At 50.7% G+C, this 26,807-nt stretch overlaps 2 protein-coding genes and 1 long non-coding RNA gene across 5 annotated transcripts in view; 1 reads left to right on the forward strand and 2 right to left on the reverse strand.

The window, feature by feature from the left end:
• POLR2J2-UPK3BL1 (POLR2J2-UPK3BL1 readthrough) overlaps positions 1-23,140 on the reverse strand; it is a 34,639-nt gene extending 11,499 nt beyond the window's left edge. The window contains exons 1-4 of the long non-coding RNA NR_173352.1: positions 23,029-23,140; positions 20,392-20,481; positions 18,567-18,741; positions 17,554-17,640 (exon numbers count right to left, since the gene is read on the reverse strand). This is a non-coding gene — a long non-coding RNA (POLR2J2-UPK3BL1 readthrough). The remainder of the gene's footprint in view (positions 1-17,553; positions 17,641-18,566; positions 18,742-20,391; positions 20,482-23,028) is intronic.
• Positions 1,796-14,102, forward strand: SPDYE2B (speedy/RINGO cell cycle regulator family member E2B). Of its 3 annotated transcripts, NM_001166339.2 has the most exons (9): positions 1,796-1,854; positions 3,405-3,985; positions 4,928-5,146; positions 6,461-6,691; positions 7,725-7,783; positions 9,028-9,113; positions 11,167-11,560; positions 11,683-11,787; positions 12,623-14,102. In NM_001166339.2, exons 2-8 carry the CDS (start codon positions 3,826-3,828, stop codon positions 11,740-11,742), a joined length of 1,209 nt encoding a protein of 402 aa, NP_001159811.1. In that variant the 5' UTR covers positions 1,796-1,854; positions 3,405-3,825; the 3' UTR covers positions 11,743-11,787; positions 12,623-14,102. The 3 variants fall into 3 exon arrangements, with proteins under 3 accessions (NP_001159811.1, XP_011514004.1, XP_047275649.1); XM_011515702.4 differs by lacking the exon at positions 1,796-1,854 and having other exon boundaries at positions 11,167-12,773; XM_047419693.1 differs by lacking the exons at positions 1,796-1,854; positions 9,028-9,113; positions 11,683-11,787; positions 12,623-14,102 and having other exon boundaries at positions 11,167-11,196.
• On the reverse strand, positions 17,523-23,140 carry POLR2J2 (RNA polymerase II subunit J2). Its single transcript, NM_032959.7, has 4 exons — positions 23,029-23,140; positions 20,392-20,481; positions 18,567-18,741; positions 17,523-17,640 (listed from the first exon to the last, which is right to left on the reverse strand). The coding sequence occupies exons 1-4, from the start codon at positions 23,076-23,078 to the stop codon at positions 17,608-17,610; spliced, it is 348 nt and encodes a 115-aa protein (NP_116581.3). The 5' UTR covers positions 23,079-23,140; the 3' UTR covers positions 17,523-17,607.
• Positions 23,141-26,807: the final 3,667 nt, after the last annotated feature.

Here is a 26,807-nt window from a genome sequence, read left to right on the forward strand (position 1 = left end):
CTTGTTGCCCAGGCTAGAGTGCAATGGTGCGGTCTCGGCTCACTGCAACCTCCACCTCCTGGGTTCAAGCGATTCATTCTCCTGCCTCAGCCTCCCAAGTAGCTAGGATTACAGGTGCCCACCACCACGCCTGGTTAATTTTTGTGTTTTTAGTAGAGATGGGGTTTCACCATTTTGGCCAGGCTGGTTGAGAACTCCTGACCTCAAGTCATCCGCCCGTCTCTGCCTCCCAAAGTGCTGGGATTACAGGCGTGAGCCACTGCACCCAGCCAATCGCTGTATTTTTATAATCTGCTTTGTTCTGTAAATGATCCCTCTCGAGTGTAACTCACTAGTGGGCTGTGTCCTTCTTTGGTGAATGTCTCTTTTTCCCATTAAACTGTAACTCTCTGAGGGCGGGGACTGGATCTGTTTATCTGTTTAGTTCTCCCACTGAATCCTCACTGTTAACCTAGGGGTCTGGCACAATAATTGTGCAGCCTCGAACTCCTAGGCTCAAGTCATCCTCCTACCTCAGCTTCCTTAGTACCTGGGATTACAGGCACATGTCACCATGCCCATCTAATTTTTAAATTTTTTACTTTTTCTTTTCTTTTTTTTTTGAGATGGAGTCTAGCTTTGCTGTCCAGGCTGGACTGCAATGGCATGATCCTAGCTCACTACAACCACCGCCTCCTGGGTTCAAGCGATTCTCCTGCCTCAGCCTCCCAAGTAGCTAGGATTACAGGTGCCCACCACCATGCCCGGCTAATTTTTGTATTTTTAGTAGAGATGGGGTTTCACCATGTTGGCCAGGCTGGTCTCAAACTCCTGACCTCAAATGATCCATCCCCCTCGGCCTCCCAAAGTGCTGGGATTACAGGCATGAGCCACTGCGCCCAGCCAATTTTTAAATTTTTTCTGGAGATGGGGTGCTCGCTATGTTGCCCAGGCTGGTCTCAAACTCTAGGCCTCAAGTCCTCCTGCCCCGACCTCCCAAAGTGCTGAGATTACAGGCATGAGCCACTGTGCTCAGCCCCAACAATTATTTTTGACAGATAATAGGGATGTCTCCTTGCTCTCTGTGTCTGGCCAAGTAGCCCCAGGTGACACTCTTTTTTTTTGTTTGTTTTTGAGATGGAGTCGTGCTCTGTTGCCCAGCCTGGAGTCCAATGCCGTGGTCTCGGCTCACTGCAATCTCCGCCTCCTGGGTTTAAGTGATTCTCCTGCCTCAGCCTCCAGAGGAGCTGGGACTACAGGTATGTGCCACCACACCTGGCTAATGTTCTTATTTTTAGTAGAGACGGGATTTCGCCATGTTGGCCAGGCTGGTCTCGAACTCCAGACCTCATGATCCACCCGCCTTGGCCTCCTAAAGTGCTGGGATTACAGGTGTGAACCACCATGCCCGGCCGTGACACTCGTTTTATAGCATCAGGCTGGTGACCAGAATGTCATGGCTTCTGGGCAGAGGCCAGCTTCCATGCCGTGTCCTGTCTTCCTAGTGCAGATGTCCCCAGCTGCAGTGAGTACCAGTGTGAGGGAATGGGCTCCAGACTCCCAGAGGGGCCACAGGGATGGCCACGCCAAGCTCTGGGGAGTAGCCGATTCCCCAGCACCTGCCTGCCCATGCACCTTTGGGGTGACTCATGAGACAGGGTGGGGCTCCCACCTCCCCTCTCCCAAAAGGCAATCAGCTATAAAGGCTCTCAGAGGCCCACCCAGCCCCAGGTCATCAAACAAGCCCCAGTTCCATGGCAACCATTATACCCATTCATCAAGGAGATGAAGAAGGAGGTGCTTCCTGGTTCACCCCACCCTCAGCAGAGACAGACCCCAGATCTGGGCCCAGGACTTTGTGCAGGGAGGGGAAATGCAGCTGACTCAGCCCCTATTCCTCCATCAAACCAGCCTTGAAGATGGGTTAAATCAGAGCTTTTCATTCCACAAAAGAGAAATTTTAATGGGGTCAGAACATTGATCTTCTAATATTTGAAAGCCTGTTAACTAGGAGAGAGAGAGCAAACTATTTTGTTGTAGGAGGACCCACCCAGCTCTGACGGTTTAAAGCGTCATGAATGCGAATTTGAACTCCAGAAAAGCAGAGCTTCCTAACAATGGGACTTCCACAGCAATGGGATCTGCTTCCTCTTTCAGTTTGTGCCTTTTCTATGAGCGAGAGACTCCTAGGAAAGCAGCAGCCCATTAGGAAAACGTGTGGGAACTCACTCGCAGGTTCTTTATTTTTTTTGAGATGGAGTTTTGCTCTTGTTGCCCAGGCTGGAGCACAATGGTGCCATCTTGGCTCCCTGCAACCTGCGCACCATGAGTTCAAGTGATTCTCCAGCGCCCTCTCCTGAGTAGCTGCGATTACAGGAATCCACCACCATGCCTGGCTAATTTTTTGTATTTTTAGTAGAGATGGGGTTTCACCATGTTGTCCAGGCTGGTCTCAAACTCCTGACCTCAAGTGATCCACCCACTTTGGCCTCCCAAAGTGCTGGGATTACAGGCATGAGCCACTGAGCCCAGCCGGGAACCCACAGGTTTTTTGGATGGTCTCTGAATGTCATGTAACTCTTTTATTTTTTATCAAAAAAACTTTTTTTGACACAGTATCTTGCTGTGTTGCCCAGACTGGAGTGCAGTGGCAAGATCACGGCTCACTGCAGCTTCTAACTCCTGGGCTCAAGTGATCTTCCTGTCACATGAGTCTCCCAAGTAGTTGGAACACAGGTGCCAGCCACCACACCTGGCTAATTTGGTTTGGTTTTGTTTTTTTAGAGATGGGCTCTTGCTATGTTGCCTATACTGGTCTCGAACTGCTGGCCTCAGGCAATCTTCCTCCCTTGGCCACCCAAAGTGCTGGGATTACAAGCATGAGCCACTGTGCACAGCTGAAATTTTTTGACTTAGTCTTTTTGTACATGTGATATTTTATTCATAGAATCCATAAATGGAAGGGAAATTTCTGAGTTCAGAGCAATACATATGATACAAAACTTGATATATAGACTAGAGTTTCTTAGCCGAACTGGAGGGGCTGGCTTAGGTAATCCATGGATTCCCTGAAACTGGGGACACCATTGGAAATATGTGTGAGCTCAGGGGCAGTTTCCTATGATTTTTAGGCCTCAAAATGTCTCTTGGACTCAAAATTGCCTTAGGGCAGAGGACGTGTGTACCCCCAGTATAGAATCTCGGACAGTGAATGTGAGTAAACATTCGGCAGAAAAGCTCTGCCAAACTGAGTGCTCTGATGTGACTTTTTCATCAAGTCAGTATTCCTGGGATCTCTTGTACGTGATAATCTCACTCTTGTACATGATAATCTCACTCTTGTACATGATACTCTCACTCTTATAAGGTTTCATCGTTTCTGCTTACCCTAGTTTTCTTTCCCACTCTGTTCCCTCTCCCACCAGACTGGACTCTGAAATGGGCATGTACAGAGACGAAGAGACCCCAACATGCTTCAGGCTTTGAGTGGAGAGGACACAGCCTCTGCTGGGACAGGGAATAGAGGGATGTGGAGTCCCTGAAGATGCTTTTGGACAATGGTCTGAGGTTGGGACAGTGGCAGGAGATACCATTCACCCAGGATCTCCAGGACAAGAGATCAGCCTGGCAGTTACATGTGTTTTTTTTCAAACTGGTTGCCAGGTTGGCATGAACGATGACATCAGAGATTCCGACCTTCCTGATTGGAGGGACCGGACTCCGTGGTGCCTGGAGATCAGTTGGACAACAGTATCTTCTCAGAGCTGTTCTCTACTCCTGACTTCTCCTAGGCTTGAGAATTGATAACATACTCTTCTGGATCCTAGAAGTGTCCAGAAGAAGGCCATGGACAGAACGGAGACTAGGTTCCGTAAGAGGGGACAGATTACGGGAAAGATCACGACCAGCCGTCAACCGCACCCCCAGAATGAGCAGAGTCCCCAGCGGAGCACCTCGGGGTACCCCCTCCAGGAGGTGGTGGATGATGAAATGTTGGGACCATCAGGTGAGGGGACTGGTGGAAGAAGAGGTGGGATAGGATTGACTAAGACGAAGGAAGGGGGCCGGGTGCGGTGGCTCACGCCTGTAACCCCAGCACTTTGGGAGGCCGAGGCGGGCGGATCACCTGAGGTCAGGAGATCAAGGCCAGCCTGGCCAATATGGTGAAACCCCATCTCTACTAAAAGTATAAAAATTAGCCAAGTTGTAGTGGTGCACACCTGTAATCCCAGCTACTCAGGAGGCTGAGACAGGAGAATCACTTGAGACTGGGAGGAAGAGGTTGCAGTGAGCTGAGAGCACACTACTGCACTCCAAAAAAAAAAAAAAAGAAAAGAAGGGTCAGTGGTCAGGAAGGAGAACCTGAGGAGGGTGTGTGGGAAGAATGGAGAAATTCAGGCTGGGTGCAGTGGCTCACACCTGTAAGCCCAGAACTTTGGGAGGCCAAGGCAGGCGGATCACTTGAGGCCAGGAGTTTGAGACCAGCCTGGCCAACATGGTGAAACCCTGTCTCTACTAAAAGTACAAAATTGAGCTGGGCATTATGGCAGGCACCTGTAATCCCAGCTACCTGAGAGGCTGAGGCAGAAGAATAAATGGAATCCAGGAGATGGATGTTGCAGTGAGCTGAGATTGCACCACTACACTCCAGCCTGGGTGACAAAGCAAGATTCTGTGTCAAAACAAAACAAAACAAAAAAGGAGGGACTCAGAGAGCCAGGGACCAGGGAAGGACAGGAAGCAGTGTTCGGAGGACAGAGAGAGAGAAGAATGGGGAGGGGAAGGAGCGGCACATGGGGTTGAGCAGAGGAGAAAATCAGAAAGATGGCTTAGAGAAGCCAGCAGTCTGCAAGTCTGGGGAGGATGGAGAGTGGTTTGGGGTTTTGGGTCGGGGTCTAAGGTGATCAGATGCAGAAGCATTACACGGTGGCCTGGTTTCTTTACTCAGCCCCTGGGGTAGATCCCAGCCCCCCATGTAGGTCCCTTGGCTGGAAAAGGAAGAGGGAGTGGTCAGATGAATCTGAGGAGGAGCCGGAGAAGGAGCTCGCCCCTGAGCCTGAGGAGACCTGGGTAGTGGAGATGCTGTGTGGGCTCAAGATGAAGCTGAAGCAACAGCGAGTGTCATCCATCCTCCCTGAGCACCACAAGGACTTCAACAGTCAGCTTGGTAGGAGGATACCCCAGAGAGCACCTCCAATCCTGTTCTTTCTAAAAAGAGGAAACTTCCAATAACCACACTTTTCCAATGGGAAAGATACGCCCCCAGTGGCTGAGCTCTCCACGCAGGAGGACTCAGAAGTGATCACTCATGAGGGACACTTAGGAGACGATAGAGGACTAGGCTAGACTTGATAAAGGTTGGCGCTTGGGATGAGAAAGCTTGGTTTCGGGCCAGGTGCAGTGGCTCACGCCTGAGATGCTAGCACGTTGGGAGGCTGAGGCAAGAGGATTGCTTGAACTCAGGACTTTGAGGCTGCAGTGAGCTATGACTGCACCACTGCACTCCAGCCTGGGTGACAGAGCAAAACCCTGTGTCAAAAGAAAAACGAAGGCCGGGTGTGGTAGCTCATGCCTGTAATCCCATTACTTTGGGAGGCTGAGATGGGTGGATCACTTGAGGTCAGTTGTTCGAGACCAACCAGACCAATATAGCGAAACCTCATTTATACTAACAATACAAAAATTAGCCAGGCATGCTTGTTATCCCAGCTACTCAGGAGGCTGAGACAGGATAATCGCTTGAACCCAGGTGGAAGAGGTTGCTTTGAGCCAAGATAGCGCCACTGCATTCCATTCTGGGTGAGAGAGTGAGACGCTGTCTCAAAAAAAAAAAAAAAAAAAAAAGGAAGGAAGGGCCCAGAAGTCAGGAAGGAGCACATGAGGAGGGTGTGTGGGAAGAATGGAGGTACTGAGGCAGGGTGCAGTGGCTCACACCTGTAATCCCAGCACTTTGGGAGGCCAGGCAGGCAGATCACTTGAGGCCAGGAGTTGGAGACCAGCCTGGCCAACATGGTGAAACCCTGTCTCTTCTAGAAGCACAAAAATGAGCTGGGCGTTCTGGTGGGCACCTGTAATCCCAGCTACTTGGGAGGCTTAGGCAGGAGAATCACTGGAACCCGGGAGGCAGAGGTTGCAGTGAGCCAAGATCGCACCACTACACTCCAGCCTAGGCCACAAAGCAAGACTGTTTCTCAACAACAACAACGACAACAACGAAAAAAAAAAAAAAAAAGGGACTCAGAGAGCCAGGGACCAGGGAAGGATATGAGGAAGTGTTCTGAGGACAGAAAAACGGGAGAATGGGGAGGAGAAGGAGCGGCACATGGAGCTCAGCAGAGGAGACAGACAGAAGGAAAGATGGCTTGGAGAAGCCAGCAGTCTGCGAGGCTGGGGAGGATGGAGAGTGGTTTGGGGTTTTGGGTCGGGCTCTAGTGTGATCAACTGCAGAAGCATTACACCGTGGCCTGGTTTCTTTACTCAGCCCCTGGGGTAGATCCCAGCCCCCCGCATAGGTCCTTTTGCTGGAAAAGGAAGATGGAGTGGTGGGACGAATCTGAGGAGTCGTTGGAGGAGGAGCCACGGAAGGTGCTCGCCCCTGAGCCTGAGGAGATCTGGGTGGCGGAGATGCTGTGTGGCCTCAAGATGAAGCTGAAGCGACGGCGAGTGTCGCTCGTGCTCCCTGAGCACCACGAGGCCTTCAACAGGCTGCTTGGTAGGAGGACACCCCAGAGAGCACCTCCAATCCTGTTCTTTCCAAAAACAGGAAACTTCCAATAACCACACTTTTCCAATGGGAAAAATAGGCCCCAGTGGGTGAGCTCTCCATGTGGGAGGAATGTGAAGTGATCACTCATGAGGGACACTTAGGAGATGATAAAGGATTAGGTCAACTTGATAAAGGTCAGCGCTTGGGATAAGAAAGCTTGGTTTCGGGCCAGGCGCAGTGGCTCCCGCCTGAGATCCCAGCACGTTGGGAGGCTGAGGCAAGAGGATTGCTTGAACTCAGGACTTTGAGGCTGCAGTGAGCTATGACTACACCACTGCACTCCAGCCTGGGTGACAGAGCAAAACCCTGTCTCAAAAGAAAAACCAAGGCTGGGCACAGTAGCTCATGCATGTAATCCCAGCTACTCGGGAGGCTGAGACAGGAGAATCGCTTAAACCCGGGAGGCAGAGGTTGCAGTGAGCCAAGATCAGGCCACTGCATTCCAGCCTGGCCCACAGAGCAAGACTCTGTCTCAAAATAAATTAATAAATAAATAAAAATAAAAATCCAATAAAGAAAAACAAAATCAATAAACAAAGAAAGTGGTTTCAGCTGTGCCCTCTGAAACTTAATGTCTCTTACTGACTTTTCTAAACCTAAGTGTCTCCATCCATAGTGGGGGATACCAAGGCCATGGTCACACCCTGATGTGACTGTCTCATGAGGAAATGATGGGAATTCCTTTATGACTCTGCAGTGGTCCCTCCGTGTCTGCTGGAGGGGGTCCTGGCTGATTCCCAGCTCTACATCCTGTAGATTCTCACACCCAGGGCCTCCTTCGGCCTCTTCTCAGGGGAGTCTCAGAGCAGGAGCCTCTCTCCCTTGCCCAGTGAAAGTCATTCTCCCCTCTCCCATCCACCTCACCCGCGGCCACAATCCTGAGACTTCCCCCCGGGAGGCACACTTCTCCTCACTGCCCTGCTGCTCCCACGGAAACCCTGTCCTGCTTCTCACACTGACATCTGCTCTCTAATCACAGAGGATCCTGTCATTAAAAGATTCTTGGCCTGGGACAAAGATCTGAGGGTGTCGGACAAGGTAAGGTTGTTCTCCATGTAACTGTTCCTGTTCCAACGCATGGCTGGGGGGAGGGCGCAGCTTCCAAACCCACAGTTCTCCCTCCACCACCTCCCACCAGATGCTCCTACAGTCTTTTTTTTTTTTTTTTTTTTTTGTGTGTGTGTGTGTGTGTGTGTGAGACAGAGTCTTGCTCTGTTGCCCAGGCTGGAGGGCAGTGTCTCGATCTTGACTCACTGCAGCCGATGCGTCCTGGGTTCAAGCGATTCTCCTGCCTCAGCCTCCAAGCAGCTGGGATTACAGACATGAACCACCACGCCTGGCTAATTTTTGTGTTTTTAGTAGAAACGGGGTTTTGCCATGTTGGCCAGGTTGGTCCTGAACACCTGACCTCAGGCGATCCACCCGCCTTGGCCTCCCAAAGTGCTGAGATTATAGACGTCAGCCACTGTGCCCGACCAGCTCCCATGGTCTTGAGTCTTGGCACCCACAAATTTTTTTTTTGTGAGACAGAGTCTAGCTCTGCTCCCCAGGATGGAGTGCAGTGGCATGATCATAGCTCATTGCAGCCTCTAATTCCTGGGCTCAAGCAATCTTCTTTCCTCAGCCTCCTGAGGAGCTGGGACTAGGCACATGCCACCATGCTCAACTAATTTTTGAAATGTTTGTAGAAACAGGGTCTCACTATGTTGCCCAGGTTGTTCTCGAACTGTTGGGCTCACATGATCCTCCTGTCTCCACCTCTCAAAAAGTACTGGGATCACAGGCTTGAGCCGCCACTCCCGGCTATTCTTGGTCTTTTTATGATTTGTCAGCGTCTCCCTCAGGATTCTGCTGGTCTCTTGCAGAGTGAATGAGTGGCCCCTGCCTCTCCTATGGGTCCTTTGGGATCTGAGCTCTGGGCCACAGTCTGGCCGCAGCCCTGAAGCTCCTGGCCCCTCTACTCTCAGCTCTTCGGGACAGTTCTCTGCCTGGCACACAAAAGACCCTCCTGACACCAGCCGACCTAGACACACCCCCTCCAAAGATCCCATCGGAGCCCACCATCCTGGGAGCATCACCCAAAACCCTTCCTCTGGCTTCTCGGATTTGCATCCGACCTTCGAATACCCCTCCATCCCGCAATTTCCAAATGAGTAGTCACCCCAACACTGAGGTCCCTTCTCTGATGGGCAGCCCCTCCCCAGACCCTCATTCCCCCTCTCCACAATCTTCCTCTTCCAAGATGTGACCTCTCCCTCTCTGTGTTCCTTTCTCTCCATCAGTATCTCCTGGCTATGGTCATAGCGTATTTCAGCCGGGCCGGCTTCCCCTCCTGGCAATACCAACGCATTCATTTCTTCCTGGCTCTGTGAGTGGTTTGCTGCCTCCTATCCGTCAATATCCAATGCCCTGGGACAGCGGGGGAAGTGGGATTCCAGCCTTTCATTTATTCTTTCACCTATTTGTCCTCTTTACTCTGTGTACAAAAAAGAGAGGATTATACTATCATAGACTGTTGTTTCTAAACAGAAACTCAGGCTGGGCACAGTGGAATACGCCTGTAATCCCAGCACTTTGGGAGGCCGAGGCAGGCGGATCACCTGAGGTCAGCAGTTCGAGACCAGCCTGGCCAACATGGCCAAATCCCGTCTCTACTAAAAATAGAAAAATTAGCTGGGCGTGGTGGTGTGCATCTGTAATCCCAGCTACTCGGGAGGCTGAGGCAAGAGAACCCTTTGAACCCAGGAGGTGGAGGTTGCAGTAAGCTAAGGTCGAGCCACTGTACTCCAGCCTGGGTGACAGAGTGAGACTTTTTCTCAAAAAAAAAAAAAAAAAAAAAAAAAAAAAAGCCAAAAAAAGAAACTCCAATGCCAGTGTACAAATAAAAGAATAAAACAAAAGGAACCATAAACCGCTCCTAAGGGGAAAAGAAAAGGAGTGGAGGAGCGGACATGCCGCTTCCTCCAGCAAGCAGACGTTTCTGGTTCTTCTCTCTCTCTCCTTCCCACATCAACCACAAACGCCATCGACCTCCTCTGGGTTCCCATGACAGAGGCCACAGTTCAGGTCCCCCTCGCATCACTCGAATTTACTGTCAAATGCTCCCCGCTGGGGTCTCCTGGAGTCTCTCCCCAAGCCAGGGGGCTTCCTAGTGCAGCCTGAACATCTTTCCAAAGCACGACAACCTCACTGCCCACCTGAACAACTTCCTTAGCTGATGCCTTTCTCTATCGAGGCCAGGGTCCACAGTGTCCATTCTACCCTCTCTACAATCTCTACAAGCACACTGGCTCGCCATCTTGGTATTTCCTGGCTCGGCTTCACTGCTCCTTCCAAATGCCCTCCACTCGACTTTGTGTTTGTGTTTTCTGTCTGGGTGTCCCGCACACATGTGGCTCTGAAGGGAAGGACCCATTCCTTGAAATCAGTTCACCCCACAGCCTCTGTGATGCCTTCCCTCATCTTCCAACTTCTGCATGCCCGTAGCTCTCTAGTTACATCCTGGACACTGGGATTAGGTCATCTGCCTTGATTACTCCCAGTCCCATTAGACTAGATGCCTGTAGAAGGCAGGGTCCTGGCAAAATATCAATGTATTCAATTTCTTTTATTTTTTTGAGACAGACTTGCCCTGTCCCCCAAGCTGGAGTGCAGTGGTGAGATCATAGCTCACCGCAGCCTCCATATCCTGGGCTCAAGCGATCCTCCCACCTCAGCTTCTTTATTAGCTCCGACTACAGGGCTGTGCCACCACACCTGGACAGTTTGTTTGTTTGTTTGTTTATTGAGACAGAGTCTTGTTCTGCCTCTCAGGCTGGAATGGAGTGGCCCAATCTCAACTCACTGCAACCTCCGCCTCCTGGGTTCACACAATTCTTGTGCTTCAGCCTCCTGAGTAGCTAGGCCTAACGGGTGTGCCACCGCACCAGGCTCATTTTTGTATTTTTAGTAGAGATGGGGTTTCTCCGTGTTGACCAGGCTGGTCTCCAACTCCTGGTCTCAAGCGATCCACCTGCTTCAGCCTTCTAAAGTGCTGGGATTACAGGCATGAGCCACCGCGTCTGGCATATTTCTTACATTTTTAATAGAGACGAGGGTCTTGCTATGTTGCCCAGGCCCGTCTCAAACTCCTGGCCTCAAGTGATCCTCCTGCTTTGGCCTCCCAGTGTGCTGGGATTCCAGGCGTAAGCCACCACTCTCGGCCACCAGTTGGGTTTTTGTCTCCATCCTGAAGGAGTGGGAGACGCCCTTGATCAGGTCTCTGTCCAGCAGAGCCCTCCTGAGGAAGGCATGGCTCTCTGCAGGGTGGGTGCCAGTCCTGAGCTAGGGACGGTCCCTTACCTTCCTCTCTGGGAAGCTGACCTCAGCCGGAGGCCTCTCCTGGTGGTGCCCCTGAGCAGCAACCTGATTTCTGTCCTCAGCTACCTGGCCAATGACATGGAGGAGGACGACGAGGACTCCAAACAAAACATCTTCCACTTCCTGTATAGGAAGAACCGCTCTCGCATACCCTTGCTCCGTAAGCCTTGGTTCCAGTTAGGCCATTCCATGAACCCGAGGGCCAGGAAGAACCGCTCTCGCATACCCTTGCTCCGTAAGCGTCGGTTCCAGTTATACCGTTCCACGAACCCGAGGGCCAGGAAGAACCGCTCTCGCATACCCTTGCTCCGTAAGCGTCGGTTCCAGTTATACCGTTCCATGAACTCGAGGGCCAGGAAGAACCGCTCTCAGATAGTCCTGTTCCAGAAACGACGGTTCCACTTCTTCTGTTCCATGAGCTGCAGGGCTTGGGTTTCCCCAGAGGAGTTGGAGGAGGTGAGTGGGGCCTGGGGAGGTGGAGGAGGTGGGGAGGAATTGGGTGGGCTGGAGGCTGGATGAGGGGAGAGAGGGGTATCCTGGCGAGTCCCCGTCTTCTCAAAGGGCGTTTGTTTTTCCAGATCCAGGCTTATGACCCAGAGCACTGGGTGTGGGCGCGAGATCGCGCTCACCTTTCCTAGAGCTCCAGGGACCGGGGAGGCCTGAGGTCATCGGCCTGAGAGAAGGTACATCTGCATCCTCTGGGGTAAAGGCAGAATATTGGGGTCTATTTCGGAAATCCGAAGAACCCAATTGCTTGATCTGGCTTCAAGCCTGGGCAACGTGGCGAGATCCCCTCTCCACAAAAATACAAAAATTAGCCAGGCGATGTGGGACGCATCTCTACTCCCAACTACTCAGGAGGCTGAGGCGGGAGGATCGCTGGAGCCTGGAAGGTCGGGGCCGCACGGAGCCCTGATCCTGCCACTGCACTCCAGTCTGGGCGACAGAGTGAGACCCTGCCTCAAAAATAATCATAAAAACTGAGTTTGGGGAGGTTCATTATGATTGACGCACTTGAGTTACTGATTTGGGTCGAGGGTTCAGTGAAGCTTTGGTTTACATCTTGTGCAGCTAACCACGTTGAGCACAGAGCATGAGACTTCATCATGAGGAGGTAGGATTAAGGATTAGGCTTCTGGACTCGTGGTTCGTGATGTTGTCACATTAGAAACACATCTAGCATGGTTACAAGTTTAGATCTTAAGTGACACAAAAGGCCCCAGCTGTGATAAAGTCCAAAGCCACATTCTCTGAGGGTGCCCTACTCCCTGGGCAGACCCACCCAAAGTCCTTGCTATGAAGCAGATCACTGGGGCTGACCTTGGGTGTATTAAGTGAGTTTTGGAGTCGTGGTCACCAAAGTGTGAGTTTCACAGTTGAACACGATGGTTCAGAAGCAGGGTATAGAATGAAAGGCAGCAGATAAAATTGCATTTCTCAATTGACATGGGACGTGAATAACTTTCCTGTCTAGAGAGCTGCCTCCTTGAAGTGTGACATTGTCTCTCTCGCTTCCAGAACACCGGACCCAGGGGAGATGTGGATTTTCAGCGGGAACTTTATTCCAATGCTAATGGCAGACACCAGGCAGGAGGAGAGGAACCATTTGTGCAGATCATCTAGAAGAACCTGGACCATTCTTGATGGAGCTGAATACAGTGATCACGTTGTCCTCCTAGGAGCAGGGGTGGGGGGAGGGGGGTGGGGTCCTTCTAGGAGTCCTTGGAGAAAAGTAAGAAACCAGGAGCGTTTCCAGTTCCACCCTTTCCTGCGGCACCACCACCCTTTTTATATTGCTGAATTCCAACCTCCCTGGGGCGGAACCTGGAGGTCCTGTTTCTTACGGACTTGCAGTCCAGGAGGATTTGAAGGCACAATGCAGGGGCTCAGATTGGGACAGAATTCTTTTGTGAAATATCAGTGCCACAGATTGTAACAGATAGCTTCATGCACACTCTGCATTTTATTGGTTTGTATGGAAAATGTCGGCCATTGAATTATTCATAGATTTATTTCAAATAGTTTGGAAATTGTTGTACTTTTGAAAACATGCTGTTCCTGTAGTTTTTTGATGAGAGTTATAGTTGTTATATATACATAAAGCTAATTTTCTTTTCATTTTTAAGAGACAATTCTTTTTATCCTAAATATTTTATTATCTTTAAATTTGTTTCTGTATTATTACATGTGCTCCTGAAGCGAGCACTCTTTTTATCTATGATACTTCCATAATAATCTCTTCTATTTATAGCTATTGGTAGTTCCCCACCAGAAAAAAACATAATTCTGGTGATAGAAATTTTTATTTGCTGTTTAGGTTTGTGACTGAATTGTGAGAATTCAGTTGTGATTTTTAACATGCCTCAGATATATATACTAACACGTCTAATATATACTATCTATTTTATTGGTTTATTTTGAAAAACATGGGTATAGAATTATTTAAATATTATTTTATTTATTTAAATATTTATTAAATATATTTATTTATTTAAATATTATTACTTTAAATATTATTTTAAATATTTTGGAAATACTGGTATTTTTGAATAGATGCTGTTTCTATAAAGCTGTGTGATGGATATTATAACTGTTATATACACATACATATAATTTTGTTTTCCTTTTTAAGAGAGGATTCTTTTCATCCTAAATCTTTTACCTTTCAATCTTTGTATCTATTATTACACGTGCTGCTGAAGGGAGCATGGTTTTTATCTATGATACTTAGTTAACATATATATTACATTTATAGCTATGTAGTAGTTCCCCTAAATTCTTGTAAAAATAAATTTTTATTTGATATTTCATATATATTTGAAATGTGAGAATTCAGATGTAATTTTTTACCTTGTTTTGGCATGTTTGTATGTTACTTTAAAGAGGATGTGTGTTCTAAAGGAGGACATGAGCTGTGTGTTTTCAAGAGAACAATAGAGTGCGTCTCTTGGGGAAACATAATAAAAATGAACTTTTCTCACCTTCACAGCAATTGTGATCATATTGGTCTGGATTGATTATTTGCTGCCCAGTGATATTTTTCCTTAATGGGGTTGTGGTTATTTGAACATATTTATTAGCTCTGGAAGATAATCCTGTGCTGTTTTTTATGTAGAAAAAAACATAAGGCTGGGTGCAGTGCTCACACCTACAATCCCTGTGGTTTTGGAGGTCATGGCGGGAGGATCACCTGAGGCCAGGAGTTTGAGGCCAGCCTCAGCAACATAGCATCTACATCTATTTTTAATTTTTATTTTTTAAAGAAAAACAATAGAAGAGAAGGCTGATCCCAAGCTACAGGGTTTTTTTGTTTGTTTGTTTGTTTTGGAGACAGAGTCTTGCTCTGTCTCCCAGGCTGGAGTGCAGTGGCACAACCTCGGCTCCCTGCAACTTTCACCTCTGGGTTCAAACAAATTCTCCTGCCTCAGCCTCCCAAGTAGCTGGGACTACAGGCACCCGTCTGTACGTCCGACTAACTTTTGTAAAAATAGTAGAGACAAGGTTTCACCATGTTGGCCAGGCTGGTCTCGAACTCCTGACTTCAAGACCTACCTCGGCCTCCCAAAGTGCTGGGATTACAGGCATGAGCTACTGCGCCCAGATGCCAAGCTAGAGTTTTAAGGCAGGAAATGAGAGAAAGATATTGAGAGAGGAAAACCAGGTGGTAAGAAAACTCTAAAGGTGGCCGGGCGTGGTGGCTCACGCCCATGATCCCAGCAGGAGTTTGAGACCAGCCTGGCCAACATGGTGAAACCCTGTCTCTACTAAAAATACAAAAATTAGGCAGGCGTGGTGGTGCACGCCTATAATCCCAGCTATTTGGGAGGCTGAGGCAGGAGAATCACTAGCAGAGATTGTGTCTCCTCACCCCCTCTCAAAAAAAAAAAAAAAAAAAAAAGTTCGTTCCTGCAGCAGTTAAAGCTGTGAAAGACAGGCACTCTGACATGCAATTCCTTGTGATTTTTCTTTTTCCTTTTTGGAGTTGGGGTCTTGCGCTGTCACCCAGACTGGGGTGCAGTGGTGTGGTCATAGCTCACTGCGGCCTCAGACTCAAGCTCAAGCGATCCTCTTACCTTGCCTTTCAAATTGCTGGGATTATAAGCATGAGCCACTGCATCTGGCCTGTGTGACACAATTTTTTTTTTGTCTTTTTTCTTTTTGGGGGGGGATGGAGTCTCGCTCTGTCACCCAGGCTGGAGTGCGGTGGCGTGATCTTGGCTCAATGCAAGCTCTGCCTCCTGGGTTCACGCCATTCTCCTGCCTCAGCCTCCCGAGTAGCTGGGACTACAGGCGCCCGCCACCATGCCTGGCTAATTTTTTGAATTTTTAGTAGAGACGGGATTTCACTGTCTTAGCCAGGATGGTCTCGATCTCCTGACCTCGTGATCTGCCCGCCTTGGCCTCCCAAAGTGCTAGGATTACAGGCGTGAGCCACCGCGCCCAGCCTATGTGATGCAATTCTGATGTCAACTCCCTGATGTTACCTCAAATGCCACAGGTTAAGGCCACCAGTCCCCACTAGGCTGCCCTCGCTTTAGACACACCTGCAGGCTTGGGTGTCCTCAGACCACATGTACTTCTCACCAACTGGCTGCAAATTTGGAGGTTCCCACCATGCCCTCAAGTTCGATAACTCACTAAAACAATTCACAGAATGCAGAAAAGCATGATACTTTCTTTCTCTTTTTTTTTTTTTGAGACGGAGTCTTGCTCTGTCACCCAGGCTGGAGTACAGTGACCACCATGCTTGGCTAATTTTTGTATTTGTATTAGAGACGGGGTTTCGCCATGTTGGCCAGGCTGGTCTTGAACTCCTGACCTCAGGTGATCCACCCGCCTTGGCATCCCAAAATGCTGGGATTATAGGCATAGCCACCATGCCCGGTTGACTTCTAGAGTTTCAATAACAGAGATGTGATTCAAGAAGGGAGACATGTTTTGTAGATGGCAGGAGCTTCATGAAAAGAAGCCAATGAAGGGCAGGACGTGTAGCTGTCTACCTACAGGAAACCAGCCAGGAGCCTCCCCACAGGGACTTCAGCACAGATGGCCGGGAAAATCTGCATTCACCTGAGCTCTGGACCTAAGAGAGGACAAGGCCTTGACCATTTCTACAGACTCACAAGATGCAATCTCTGTGGTCCATGCCCGTGGTGTGATCTGGGAAGCAGGGGGCCTTCTAAATGCCAACAACAAGGAAATCAAATGTGCAACAAACAGAAATAACGGCATTGACGTGGGCCATGGAAAGGCCTAAACAGATGACTGCAGTTCACTGCCAAGGTCATCAAAGGGGTGACTCTGAAATAATAAATTTCAGACGCCACGGCCCAAATAGCTGCATGAGGTGGGGAAGTCCTCCACATGCCTCTGCTTCCTTCGGTACCTGTTTATGAAATCAGCCGAGGTACTTCCCTGGGGAATTTCCTTTCTTTCTTTCTTTCGAGACGGAGTCTTGCTCTGTCGCCCAGGCTAGAGTGCAGTGGTGCAATCTCGGCTCACTGCAACCTCTCCCTCCTGGGTTTTAGCAATTCTCCTGCATCAGACTTCTGAGTAGCTGAGATTACAGGTGCATGCCACCATGCCCAGCTAATATTTGTAGTTTTAGTAGAGACAGGGTTTCACCATCTAGGCCAGGCTGGTCTTGAACTCCTGACCTCGTGATCCACCCGTCTTGGCCTCCCAAAGTGCTGGGATTACAGGTGTGAGCCATCAAGCCCGGACTTTTTTTTTATTTTTTGAGACGACGTTTCACTCTTGTTGCCCACGCTGGAGTGCAATGGCACGATCTCAGCTCACTGCCACCTCCTCCTCCCAGGTTCAAGCGATTATCCTGCCTCAGCCTCTCGAGTAGCTGGGATTACAGGCACCCAACACCAAACCCAGCTAACTTATTGTATTTTTAGTAGAGATGGGATGTCACCATGTCGGCCAGGATGGTCTTGAACCCCTGACCTCTAACGATCCACCTGAATTGGTTTCCCAAAATGTTGGGATTACAGGCACAAGCCACTGCGCCCAGCCCCTCCCATACCTCTTTTGGCCAAGGCAGCACAATTCAGAAGAATCTTGCCAGGGAAGACTGGTAAATGGACGTCAACGTGATGCCTATGGCTCCTGGTGGATTTAGATACCTCCTGGTGCTTATTGATATCTTTACCAGTTGCACAGGGGCTTTTCCATGCCAGACTGAAAACGCAGAAGATCAATGATCAACCTTCAACTATTTACTAGCAGAACACTGAGGGGACTGTGCGGTCACCAATACCTCCTATTGCACTTGGATAAACACCTCCCAGGAAATAGAGATGAATAGAAAGGACATAGTCAAACAAGCAGAATGGCTGCATTCCTTCAACCAGAAGGGTCCATTAGTCTGTTTTCACACTGCTATAAAGAACTATGAGAAACTGGGTAATTTATGAAGAAAAGAGGTTTAATTGACTCACAGTTCTGCAGGCTGTACAGGAAGCGTGGCTGGGGAGGCCTCAGGAAACTGACAATCACGGCAGAAGGCGAAGGGGAAGCAGGCACGTCTGGCCATGTTGGAGCAGGAGAGACAGAGAGAGTGAAGTGGGAGGGCTGCACGCTTTTAAACAACCAGATCCCACAAGCGCTCACTCAATATCACGAGAACAGCAAGGGGGAAGTCGGCCCCCATGAGCCAATCACCTCCCACCAGGTCCCTCCCACAACACTGGGAATTACAATTTGACATGAGATTTGGGTGTGGATACAGAGCTGAACCATGTCAAGGGTAGTTCAACCGCTGAGATTGATTGATTGATTGATTGACTGAGATGGAGTCCTGCTCTGTTACCTAGGCTGGAGTGCAGTGGCACAATCTCGGCTCACTGCAACCTCCGCCTCCCGGGTTCAAGCGATTCTCCTGCCTCAGCCTCCCGAGTAGCTGGGACTACAGCACATGCCACCATGCCTAGCTAATTTTTGTATTTTTAGTAGAAACAGGGCTTCACCATGTTTGCCAGGCTGGTCTTGAACTCCTGACCTCGTGATCACCCTGCCTCGGCTTTTCTTTGCTGTGGCTCTTTCCCCTCTAAACTGTTCTAGATTCCCAGGCGCCCTGCTAGGAACAGGTGTGGGCCACCCTGGGGTGAGCTGCCTCCCAGAGGCCTGGAAGGACCAGGCCTTGCCAATCACCGACAAGGGACGTAGAAGAGCACCCCCAAAGGACAGTAGGTCCCCGCCCGGATCTGGCCCACAGCACCCGAGGGACCCTGCAGCACTACAGAAGTCCCATGGGGCAGACGGGAGCCACAGGCCCAGACTCCACAGCCCCTCAGTCCACATGTCCTGGAGCCTGTGGTGGAAGTCCCTGTTCTTCCATCACCGCCGCCTCTCCCTGAGGACCTCCGAAGAAACAGGCCAGGGCTGTCCCAGGCCTGGGCACACGGGCCAGTGTCCAGCCCACCCCGTCTGCCCCTCCAGGCCCCGCCCTCACCCGGAAGCGCTCCTCCAGCAGGGACAGCTCACTGATGAGGTCGGTGATGGCGTTGGTAAAGGCTTCCTGGGGGCTGTAGTCCGGCGTGGTCTGCACTCGGATGATGATCTTGTGCTCCAAGGGGTGGGGGACTTTGTAGCCAGCAAATAGCACTTGCGGGTCTTTTAGGAGTTGTCTGAGGTCCAGGGACAGACAGTGTGAGGGTCTAGCCTCATGCCCAAGCTGGGTAGCAGCCAGCTCAGAGCAGAAGAACAGACTTTCTAGCCAAAAATCCCCCCCAACTTTTTTCCCAAAAAGTCTTCAAGGAAAGTAACACTTTTAGGAAGATACCTCATGTGGGGACACCCTATCCCCGCCACACACACACACTCTGCATCCATGAGGTTGAAGGACCCGAGCTGGAAAGAGATTCCAGCAACCTCTTCCCACCGGGCACCGCAGTGCTGGCAAAGAGATCTCCCAGGCAGTGAATGTCCAGCCAGTGTTCAGTGACTCAGACCCAAAAAGCCCACAAAGAGCATCCACGCAGCAAATAAAGGCAGCAGGAGAGGAGGGCCAGCTCCCGGCAGTGAGTGGAATGCAAATGGAACTCTGCCCTCCGAGCAGCACAGCCGCCAGCGGCTGGCCACGCACACTGGGCCTTGTGCCATGGGGCTGCGTCGCGTACTGTGCCCTGGGCACGCAGGGGTCTCCTCTAGAGCGGCTCAGAGTGGCGTGAGCACCACAAGGGGGACCCGTGCATAGGTGGCAACACTGAGCTCAAGAGCAGGGGAGCAGCAGGGCCCCAGGAGAGCTTGGGTGCCCCACTGGCTGGGCTCCAGGCAGGATTCCTCCATCCCCGTGCCTGACCACACCAGGAGACTGGGCAGACCCCACTCACAGACGGGGAAAAGCCTGGCTTCGCTGGTGGCACCAGAGGGAAGAGCCAAGTCTACAGTAAAATGGCAAGTCCCTGGGCCAGAATGGCAGACACATCCCTGACCAACCACCTGGCTAGGACCTCACTGGTATAAACAAACACCCACCAACCAATGCAGGGTGCCCATTAGGGGCACTGGATAGCCACAGAACTCCTACTTCTTTCTCTTGTTAAATAGAAGTTCTAGTCTCTGCCACATACATCTTAGAGGCCCAGGTGGCACTGAGGTCACAAACGGGTGGCATGAGGGGAGCTAATCTTGACTGCTTTTCAATGTCCCTCAGCATGAATAACAAACAGGCCTACTGTGCTGGAATCTGCTGCTCGTTCATTTACAGAATGTGCACTTAATGGTGAATGTAAGGCCGGGCGCAGTAGCTCACGTCTCTAATCCCAGCACTTTGGGAAGCCAGCAGGTGGATCACCTGAGGTCAGGAGTTCGAGACCAGCCTGGCCAACACAGTGAATCCCCGTCTCTACTAAAAACACAAAAATTAGCCGGGCATCGTGGCGTGGGCCTGTAGTCCCAGCTACTAGGAAGGCTGAAGCAGGAGAATCACTTGAACCCGGGAGGCGGAGGTTGCAGTGAGCAAGATCGTGCCATTGCACTCCAGCCTGGGCAACAAAGAGAGAAAATTCCATCTCAAAAACAAACAAACAAAAAAACAGTGAATGTAAATGCACGTGTTCATCTACAGAATAAGCCACTACAGAAGTGTGGCTTATGTGAAGACATGGAGGTCGGTGTCATTTTGATAAAAAGGTACCAAGATTATAAAATGCCCAGAGCAAGCCCCCAGAAGGACTTCCTGTAGCTCAGAGAGACTGAGGAAGACTTGGAACTTGTGCTTTGCCCAGAGGGGCCCATTAAACATAGCCCCTGAGAGCCTGTGACGGGAAACTTACGATTTAATGATGTTTCCCAGTGTGTGGTCTTCTTTGTTGATGGTGAATAAGCAGGCCTTGGGTACCTTGGTGTCCTTGTTAATGGTGATCCTAGGAAGACACAGAGGCCACAGATGAGGAGCAGGGGCTCCCCTCCTCCCACCCTGAGTCTAAACCCTGTCTCCTCCCGGCCAGGTGTGGTGGCTCGTGTCTGTAATCCCAACACTTTGGGAGGCTGAGGTGGATGGATGACCTGAGGTCAGAAGTTCAAGACCAGCCTGCCCAACATGGCAAAACCCTGTCTGTACTAAAAATACAAAGAAAAAAAAAAAATTAGCTGAGTGTGGTGATCCATGCCTGTAGTCCTAGCTACTTGGGAGACTGAGGCAGGAGAATCACCTGAACCTGGGAGGTGGAGTTGCAGTGAGCCGAGATCATGCCACTGCACTCCAGCCTGGGCAACAGAGTGGAACTCTGTATCAAAAATATAAAAATAAAAAGGAAAAATAAGCTCTGCCTCTTCCTGAAGGCCTTTCTCAATCTCTTCATCCCATAAAGGCCTCGCCAACCCGGTCCCCTACTTCCTGCTACCCCAGGTCTATGGAACCTTGGCCTTTTCTGAATTCCTCCTTTTTTTTTTCCGGTAGAGATGGGGTTTTGCCTTGTTGTCCTCGCTGGTCTTGAACTCCTCGCCTCAAATGATCTCTCCTGCTGCCCAGGCTGGAGTGCAGTGGTGTGATCATAGCTCACTGCAGCCTCCAACTCCTCGGCTAAAGTGATCCTCCCGCCTTAGCCTCCTGAGTAGCTGGGACCACAGGCGCACGTCATCATGCCTGGCCTGTTCCTTTCTTCTTACGCCAACATAATGAAGCAACCAAAAGGTGAAGAAGAGAGGCCCTGAAGTTACACGGTGAGGCTGGTCCTGACCCTGTGAGTTCCGAAAGCAACCATCCCCCTGGCTGGAGTGTGCAGTCCTTCCATCCATTCCCCAAAACAAGTCATGCTCTGGCATTTACTATGATTTTAGTGAACGCTTAGATGGACAAAGACAGGAAACTTCCATTGGATTTTCCAAGACAAGGGGTTTTCAGAGTGCAGTTCCCAGATAAGCAGCATCAGAATCCCCTGGGAACTTGTTAAGAGTCTCCCACCTCCCACTTACTGGACCCAGAACTCTGGAGGTGGGGCGCAGGGATCTATGGTTTAAGAAGCCCTTCAGGTGATTCTAATGCACACTCAATTTGAGGGCAACTATGCTGACAGTAAAATCTCACACAGGTGAGAGGTATCAAGTTGAATATCCTTTTTTCTAAGGTGGTTTCTCCAGGCTGACACCACACACATTTTAGGGTGCATCATTCTTTCCTGTGGGGTGCTGTCTTGTGGACATTGTAGGACATCAGCAGCATCCCTGACCTCTACCCAGTAGATTCCAGTCATAACCCCCTTTGACAACCAATAATGTTCTCAGTTATTGCCACATGTCCCTTGTGGGGCCAAATGGTCCCCAGTTGAGAGTCTGCTCTAAAGGAGGCCGAAGTGGCTGGCAAGGGCCAGACCAAGACCTCTGCACGCCAACCTGGGAACAATAAGAGCCAATGGTTATGAGGTTTTCCAGGGGCTGAGCTTTGGACCAAGAGTTTTACACAAATTACCTCATCCAATTCTTTTTATTTTGAGACAGGATTGCGCTCAGTCGCCCAGGCTGGAGTGCAGTGATGCGATCAAAGCTCACTGCAGCCTGGAACTCCTGTGCTCAGCTCAAGCAATCCTCCCACCTGAGCCTCCCAAAGTGCCGGGATTAAAAGCGTGAACCAGCGCACCTGGCCAGATCCCTTTTTTTGTTTTTTGAAACGGAGTTTCGCTCTTGTTGCTCAGGCTGGAGTGCAATGGCGTGATCTCCGCTCACCTCAACCTCCACTTCCCAGGTTCAAGTGATTCTCCTGCCTCAGCCTTCTGAGTAGCTGGGATTACAGGCATCTGCCACCACGCCCGGCTAATTTTGTATTTTTAGTAGAGACAGGGTTTCTCCATGTTGGTCAGGCTGGTCTTGAACTCCCGACCTCAGGTGATCCGCCCGCCTCGGGCTCCCAAAGTGCTGGGATTACAGGTGTCAGCCACCGCACCCGGCCTGAATCCCACGTTTAAGTACAGTAATAAACTCATTTTCCAGATGAGGAAACAGGGCCTCCGACAGATCAAGCCACTCGCCCACAGATACAGAGTGAGCCCAAGCTCTCTCCCCTGGACTCCTTCAACCCGCAGGCAGCGAGGAGCCACTGCGGCTTTTACGCAGGCCGCTGACAGATCGGAGGGGATGAAGGATGGAGGTGGCGGGCGAGAGACAAAAAGAGGAAGCTGCCAGATCCCAGAGGAAAAGGGCTATGGAGAACCAGACACTCTGGGTTCGAATACAAGCGCCGCCACTTCCTGTGTCCGGGGCAACTTGCTCGCCTCCAAGCCTCAGTGTCCTCATCTGCAACATGGACACACTCGCGACTGCCTCGCGGAACGGCCTTAAATTTGGCTGACACAGGCCGAGCAGACGATCAAGCAAAAGCTGTTTCCCTCCCGGGGCAAGAGATGGGCAGGAGACACCCCAGAATGCGACAGCCGCAGGCCCGCGCACCTAGGCCCTCCGCAGCCGGCGTCACTTACTTCTCGCCCTCGAAGAGCAAGAACGACTCGAAGGCTGGAGGGGCGTTCATGCTCCCGCCGCCGTTGCGTCCAGACCCCAAGTGTCCGCCACCGCCGCCACCAGAGCCCTAATAAGAGGCCTCTTCCGGATTACTCCGGCGGGGCAAACCCGCCCAAGGATCGGCTCATCGCCCCCCGTTGGGCTGGAGGATCTTGCGCAGGCGCGAGAAAACCCCGAGAGAGACCAGTGCCTCTGCGCATGCGTCAGTGGCGAGCGCACCGCTCCCCCCCACCCCGCACCCCGCACCCCGGCATGGCTTTCCCCGTGGGCGCTTTTCGGCGCATGCTCAGAGCGCCAGCAGGGCTGTTCTGCCCCTACAGAGGCCTCCTAGTCCTGGCTGAGCGGGAACCTCAAGCTGTACCTTTCTCCTTTCCCCATGTCCCTTGATCTCTCTTTGGAAACGTGCACCCCCTTGGAGTGCGCAGCAGGAGGCCCCTGAATAGAGAGAATAAAGCTAAGGGGTAGTGGACAGCTGCGGCTAGCAGCCGTAGGGGGAGCAGAAGATCTCGTGGCCAGAGGCAGATCTATGACAAGCCCCCTGCCCAGGCTGCCTATACCGACTGCTGCAGGACCTCTGCCTGGGGGGTGCAGCTGGCTTGTTAGCCGGGAGGGACAATTGGGTGAGGGATGCAGAAGGAGGCAGGTGTATACAGCAGTGAGAGGGGAGCCCGTAGGGTTACGTATATCTTTTTATATATTATTATTATTATTTAGAGACAGCGTCTCCCTCTGTCGCCCAGGCTGAAGTACAGTGGCGCCATCATGCAGCCTCCAACTCCTGGGCTCCAGAGATCCTCCTGCCTCAGCCTCCCGATAGTTAGGACTGCAGGCATGTGCCATCACACTTAGCTATTTTTTTTTTTATTTTTGGAGATGGTGGGGGGGGGGTCTCCCTATGTTGCCCAGGCTGGTATTGAACTCCTGGCCTCCAGCAGTCCTCCAGCCTCAGCCTCCCAAAGTGCACTTGGTGGATGTGGGCAGCAAGCCACCCAGGTGCCGAGGCAAGAGACCGAGGGCACGAGCTGTTCCAGTATAATAAAATATATAAAATAAGAATAGTTATACTAGATATAGATCTTAGATATGATTATATATGAATCATTAATCATTAGTTTGTAGTAATTATTCTTTATTCCAGTATTATAATAATCCTCGCTCTACAATCATAACCTAGGAAAAACCAGGCCATACAGAGATGGGAGCTGAGGGGACAGTGAGGAGTGACCAGAAGACAAGAGTGCAAGCTTTCTGTTATGCCCGGACAGGGCCACCAGAGGGCTCCTTGGTCTAGCGGTAACGCCAGCATCTGGGAAGACACCTGTTGCCAAGCCCACCGTGGTCTAGCGGTAGCGTTAGTGTCAAGGAAAAACACCCGCTACTTAGCAGACCGGGAAAGGGAGTCTCCCTTTCCCCGGGGGAGTTTAGAGAAGACTCTACTCCTCCACAGGCCCGCCCACAGTTACCCGGAGGCATAACCGTCTCCCTGTGATGCTGTGCTTCAGTGGTCACGCTCCTAGTCCACCTTCATGTTCCATCCTGTACACCTGGCTCTGCCTTCTAGATAGCAGTAGCAAATTAGTGAAAGTACTAAAAGTCTCTGATAAGCAGAAATAATGGTGTAAGCTGTCTCTCTCTCTTTCTCCTCTCTCTCTCTGCCTCGGCTGCCAGGCAGGGAAGGGCCCCTGTCCAGTGGACACGTGACCCATGTGGCCTTACCTATCATTGGAGATGGCTCACTCTCCTTATCCTGCCCCTTTGTCTTGTATCCAATAAATATCAGCGCAGCCTGGCATTCAGGGCCACTACTGGTCTCTGCGTCTTGGTGGTAGTGGTCCCCCCAGCCCAGCTGTCTTTTATCTCTTTGTCTTGTGTCTTTATTTCTGCGCTCTCTCGTCTCTGCACATGGAGAGAAACCCACCGACCCTGTGGGGCTGGACCCTACAGGTGGATAAGTGTATCTTACCCTTTTTGGTTTGGTTGCTTTGCAGACTACAGTTTAGCATAAAGGCCCTCCTTAAGCTGTTTGAAGCAACAGGGACTGGGGTCTCAGAGGAGCTACCAGAGCCCTAACAGTTTGGCAGCTGTTTCTCCAAGGCTGGGCAGCAGCTACAGTGCTGAGGAAATCTGGAGCATCTACCCCTTCTGGGAAGGCCCATTTCCTACTTGAGTTCTTGCACCCTGGCAGGAGGAAATCTCATTCTGCAACAGCCCCACACAGAATCTGACTTTCCAGGCGAAGTGGGTGGGCACCTCTTTAACTGCTGAGGAACAGAAAGTGATATGGGTAGGCTGGGTGCGGTGACTCACGCCTGTAATCCTAGCACTTTGGCACTTTGAGAGGCTGAGGCAGGCGGATCACTTGAGGTCAGGAGTTAGAGACCAGCCTGGCCAACATGGTGAAACCTCATCTCTACTAAAAATACAAAAAATTAGTCGGGCGTGGTGGTGGGCACCTGTAATCCCAGCTACTTGGGAGGCAGAGGCAGGAGAATCGCTTGAACCCGGGAGGCGGAGGTTGCAGTGAGCCGAGATTGCGCCACTGCACTCAGCCTCCCAAAGTACTGGGATTACAGGCGTGAGCCACTGTTCCTAGCCAAGGGTAGCATCCTTGACCCAAGCTTTTCCAGGGTGACCCAGAAGTGTGGAGGTTATATCCTCAGGGAATTATTACCCTTATCACTTTTTTTCTTTTTTTCTCTTTTTTTCTTTTTTTTTTTTGAGATAGCATCTCGCTCTGTCGCCCAGGCTGGAGTGCAGTGGCATGATCTCGGCTCTGTTGTCTAGGCTGGAGTGCAGTGGTGAGATCATAGCTCACTGCAGCTTCAAGCTCCTGGGCTCAAGCAGTCCTCCTGCCTCAGCCTCCCCAGTACCTGGGACCACAGGCAGGCACCACGGCGCCCTGCTAGTTTTTTTCTTTTTACTTTTTGTAGCGATGGGGTCCAACTTTATTGCCTAGGCTGGTCTCGAACTCCTGACCTCAAGCAATCTTCTCGCCTTGGCCTCTCAAAGTGCTGGGATTATAGGCATGAGCCCTGCCCCTGGCCACACATACCATGCTAATTTGTTACACATTGGCTGTGGTTGCTTTCATGCTACATGGCATGGTGGTTGTGACTGAGAGCTGCATGTCTGGTCCTTTACAGAAAACGTTTGCTGATCCTAATCTTGGGGATTGTGCCTGTGTTGACTTTGCTATTTATTGTTTGGTTACAGCCCAGACACTGAAGTTACTTATTAGCTTGTGGGTGTCTATCCCGTAGAAAAGAAAACTTCATGGCCGGGCGCAGTGGCTCACACCTGTAATCCCAGCACTTTGGGAGGCCGAGGTGGGCAGATCACGAGGTCAGGAGATGGAGACGATCCTGGCCAACATGGTGAAACCCCATCTCTACTAAAAATACAAAAATTAGCTGGGTGTGGCGGTGAGCACCTGTAATCCCAGCTACTCGGGAGGCTGAGGCAGGAGAATTGCTTGAACCCGGGAGGCAGAAGTTGCAGTGAGCCAAGATCGCACCACTGTACTCCAGCCTGGACGACAGAATGAGCCTCCGTCTCAAAAAAAAAAAAAACAAAAACCAAAAAAAAAAAAAAAGAAAAGAAAACTTCATTAATTAACCACTTTCGTATGTAATATCACAATCTTATTCTAGCATTCTTCTCTTAAAGTGTTTACGGGCCAGGCACAGTGGCTCACATCTGTAGTCCCAGCACCTAGGGAGGCTGAGGGAGGATTGCCTGA

The sequence above is a fragment of the Homo sapiens genome, chromosome 7 (assembly GCF_000001405.40).
Source record: "Homo sapiens chromosome 7, GRCh38.p14 Primary Assembly".
NCBI classification, from domain to species: Eukaryota; Metazoa; Chordata; class Mammalia; order Primates; family Hominidae; genus Homo; species Homo sapiens.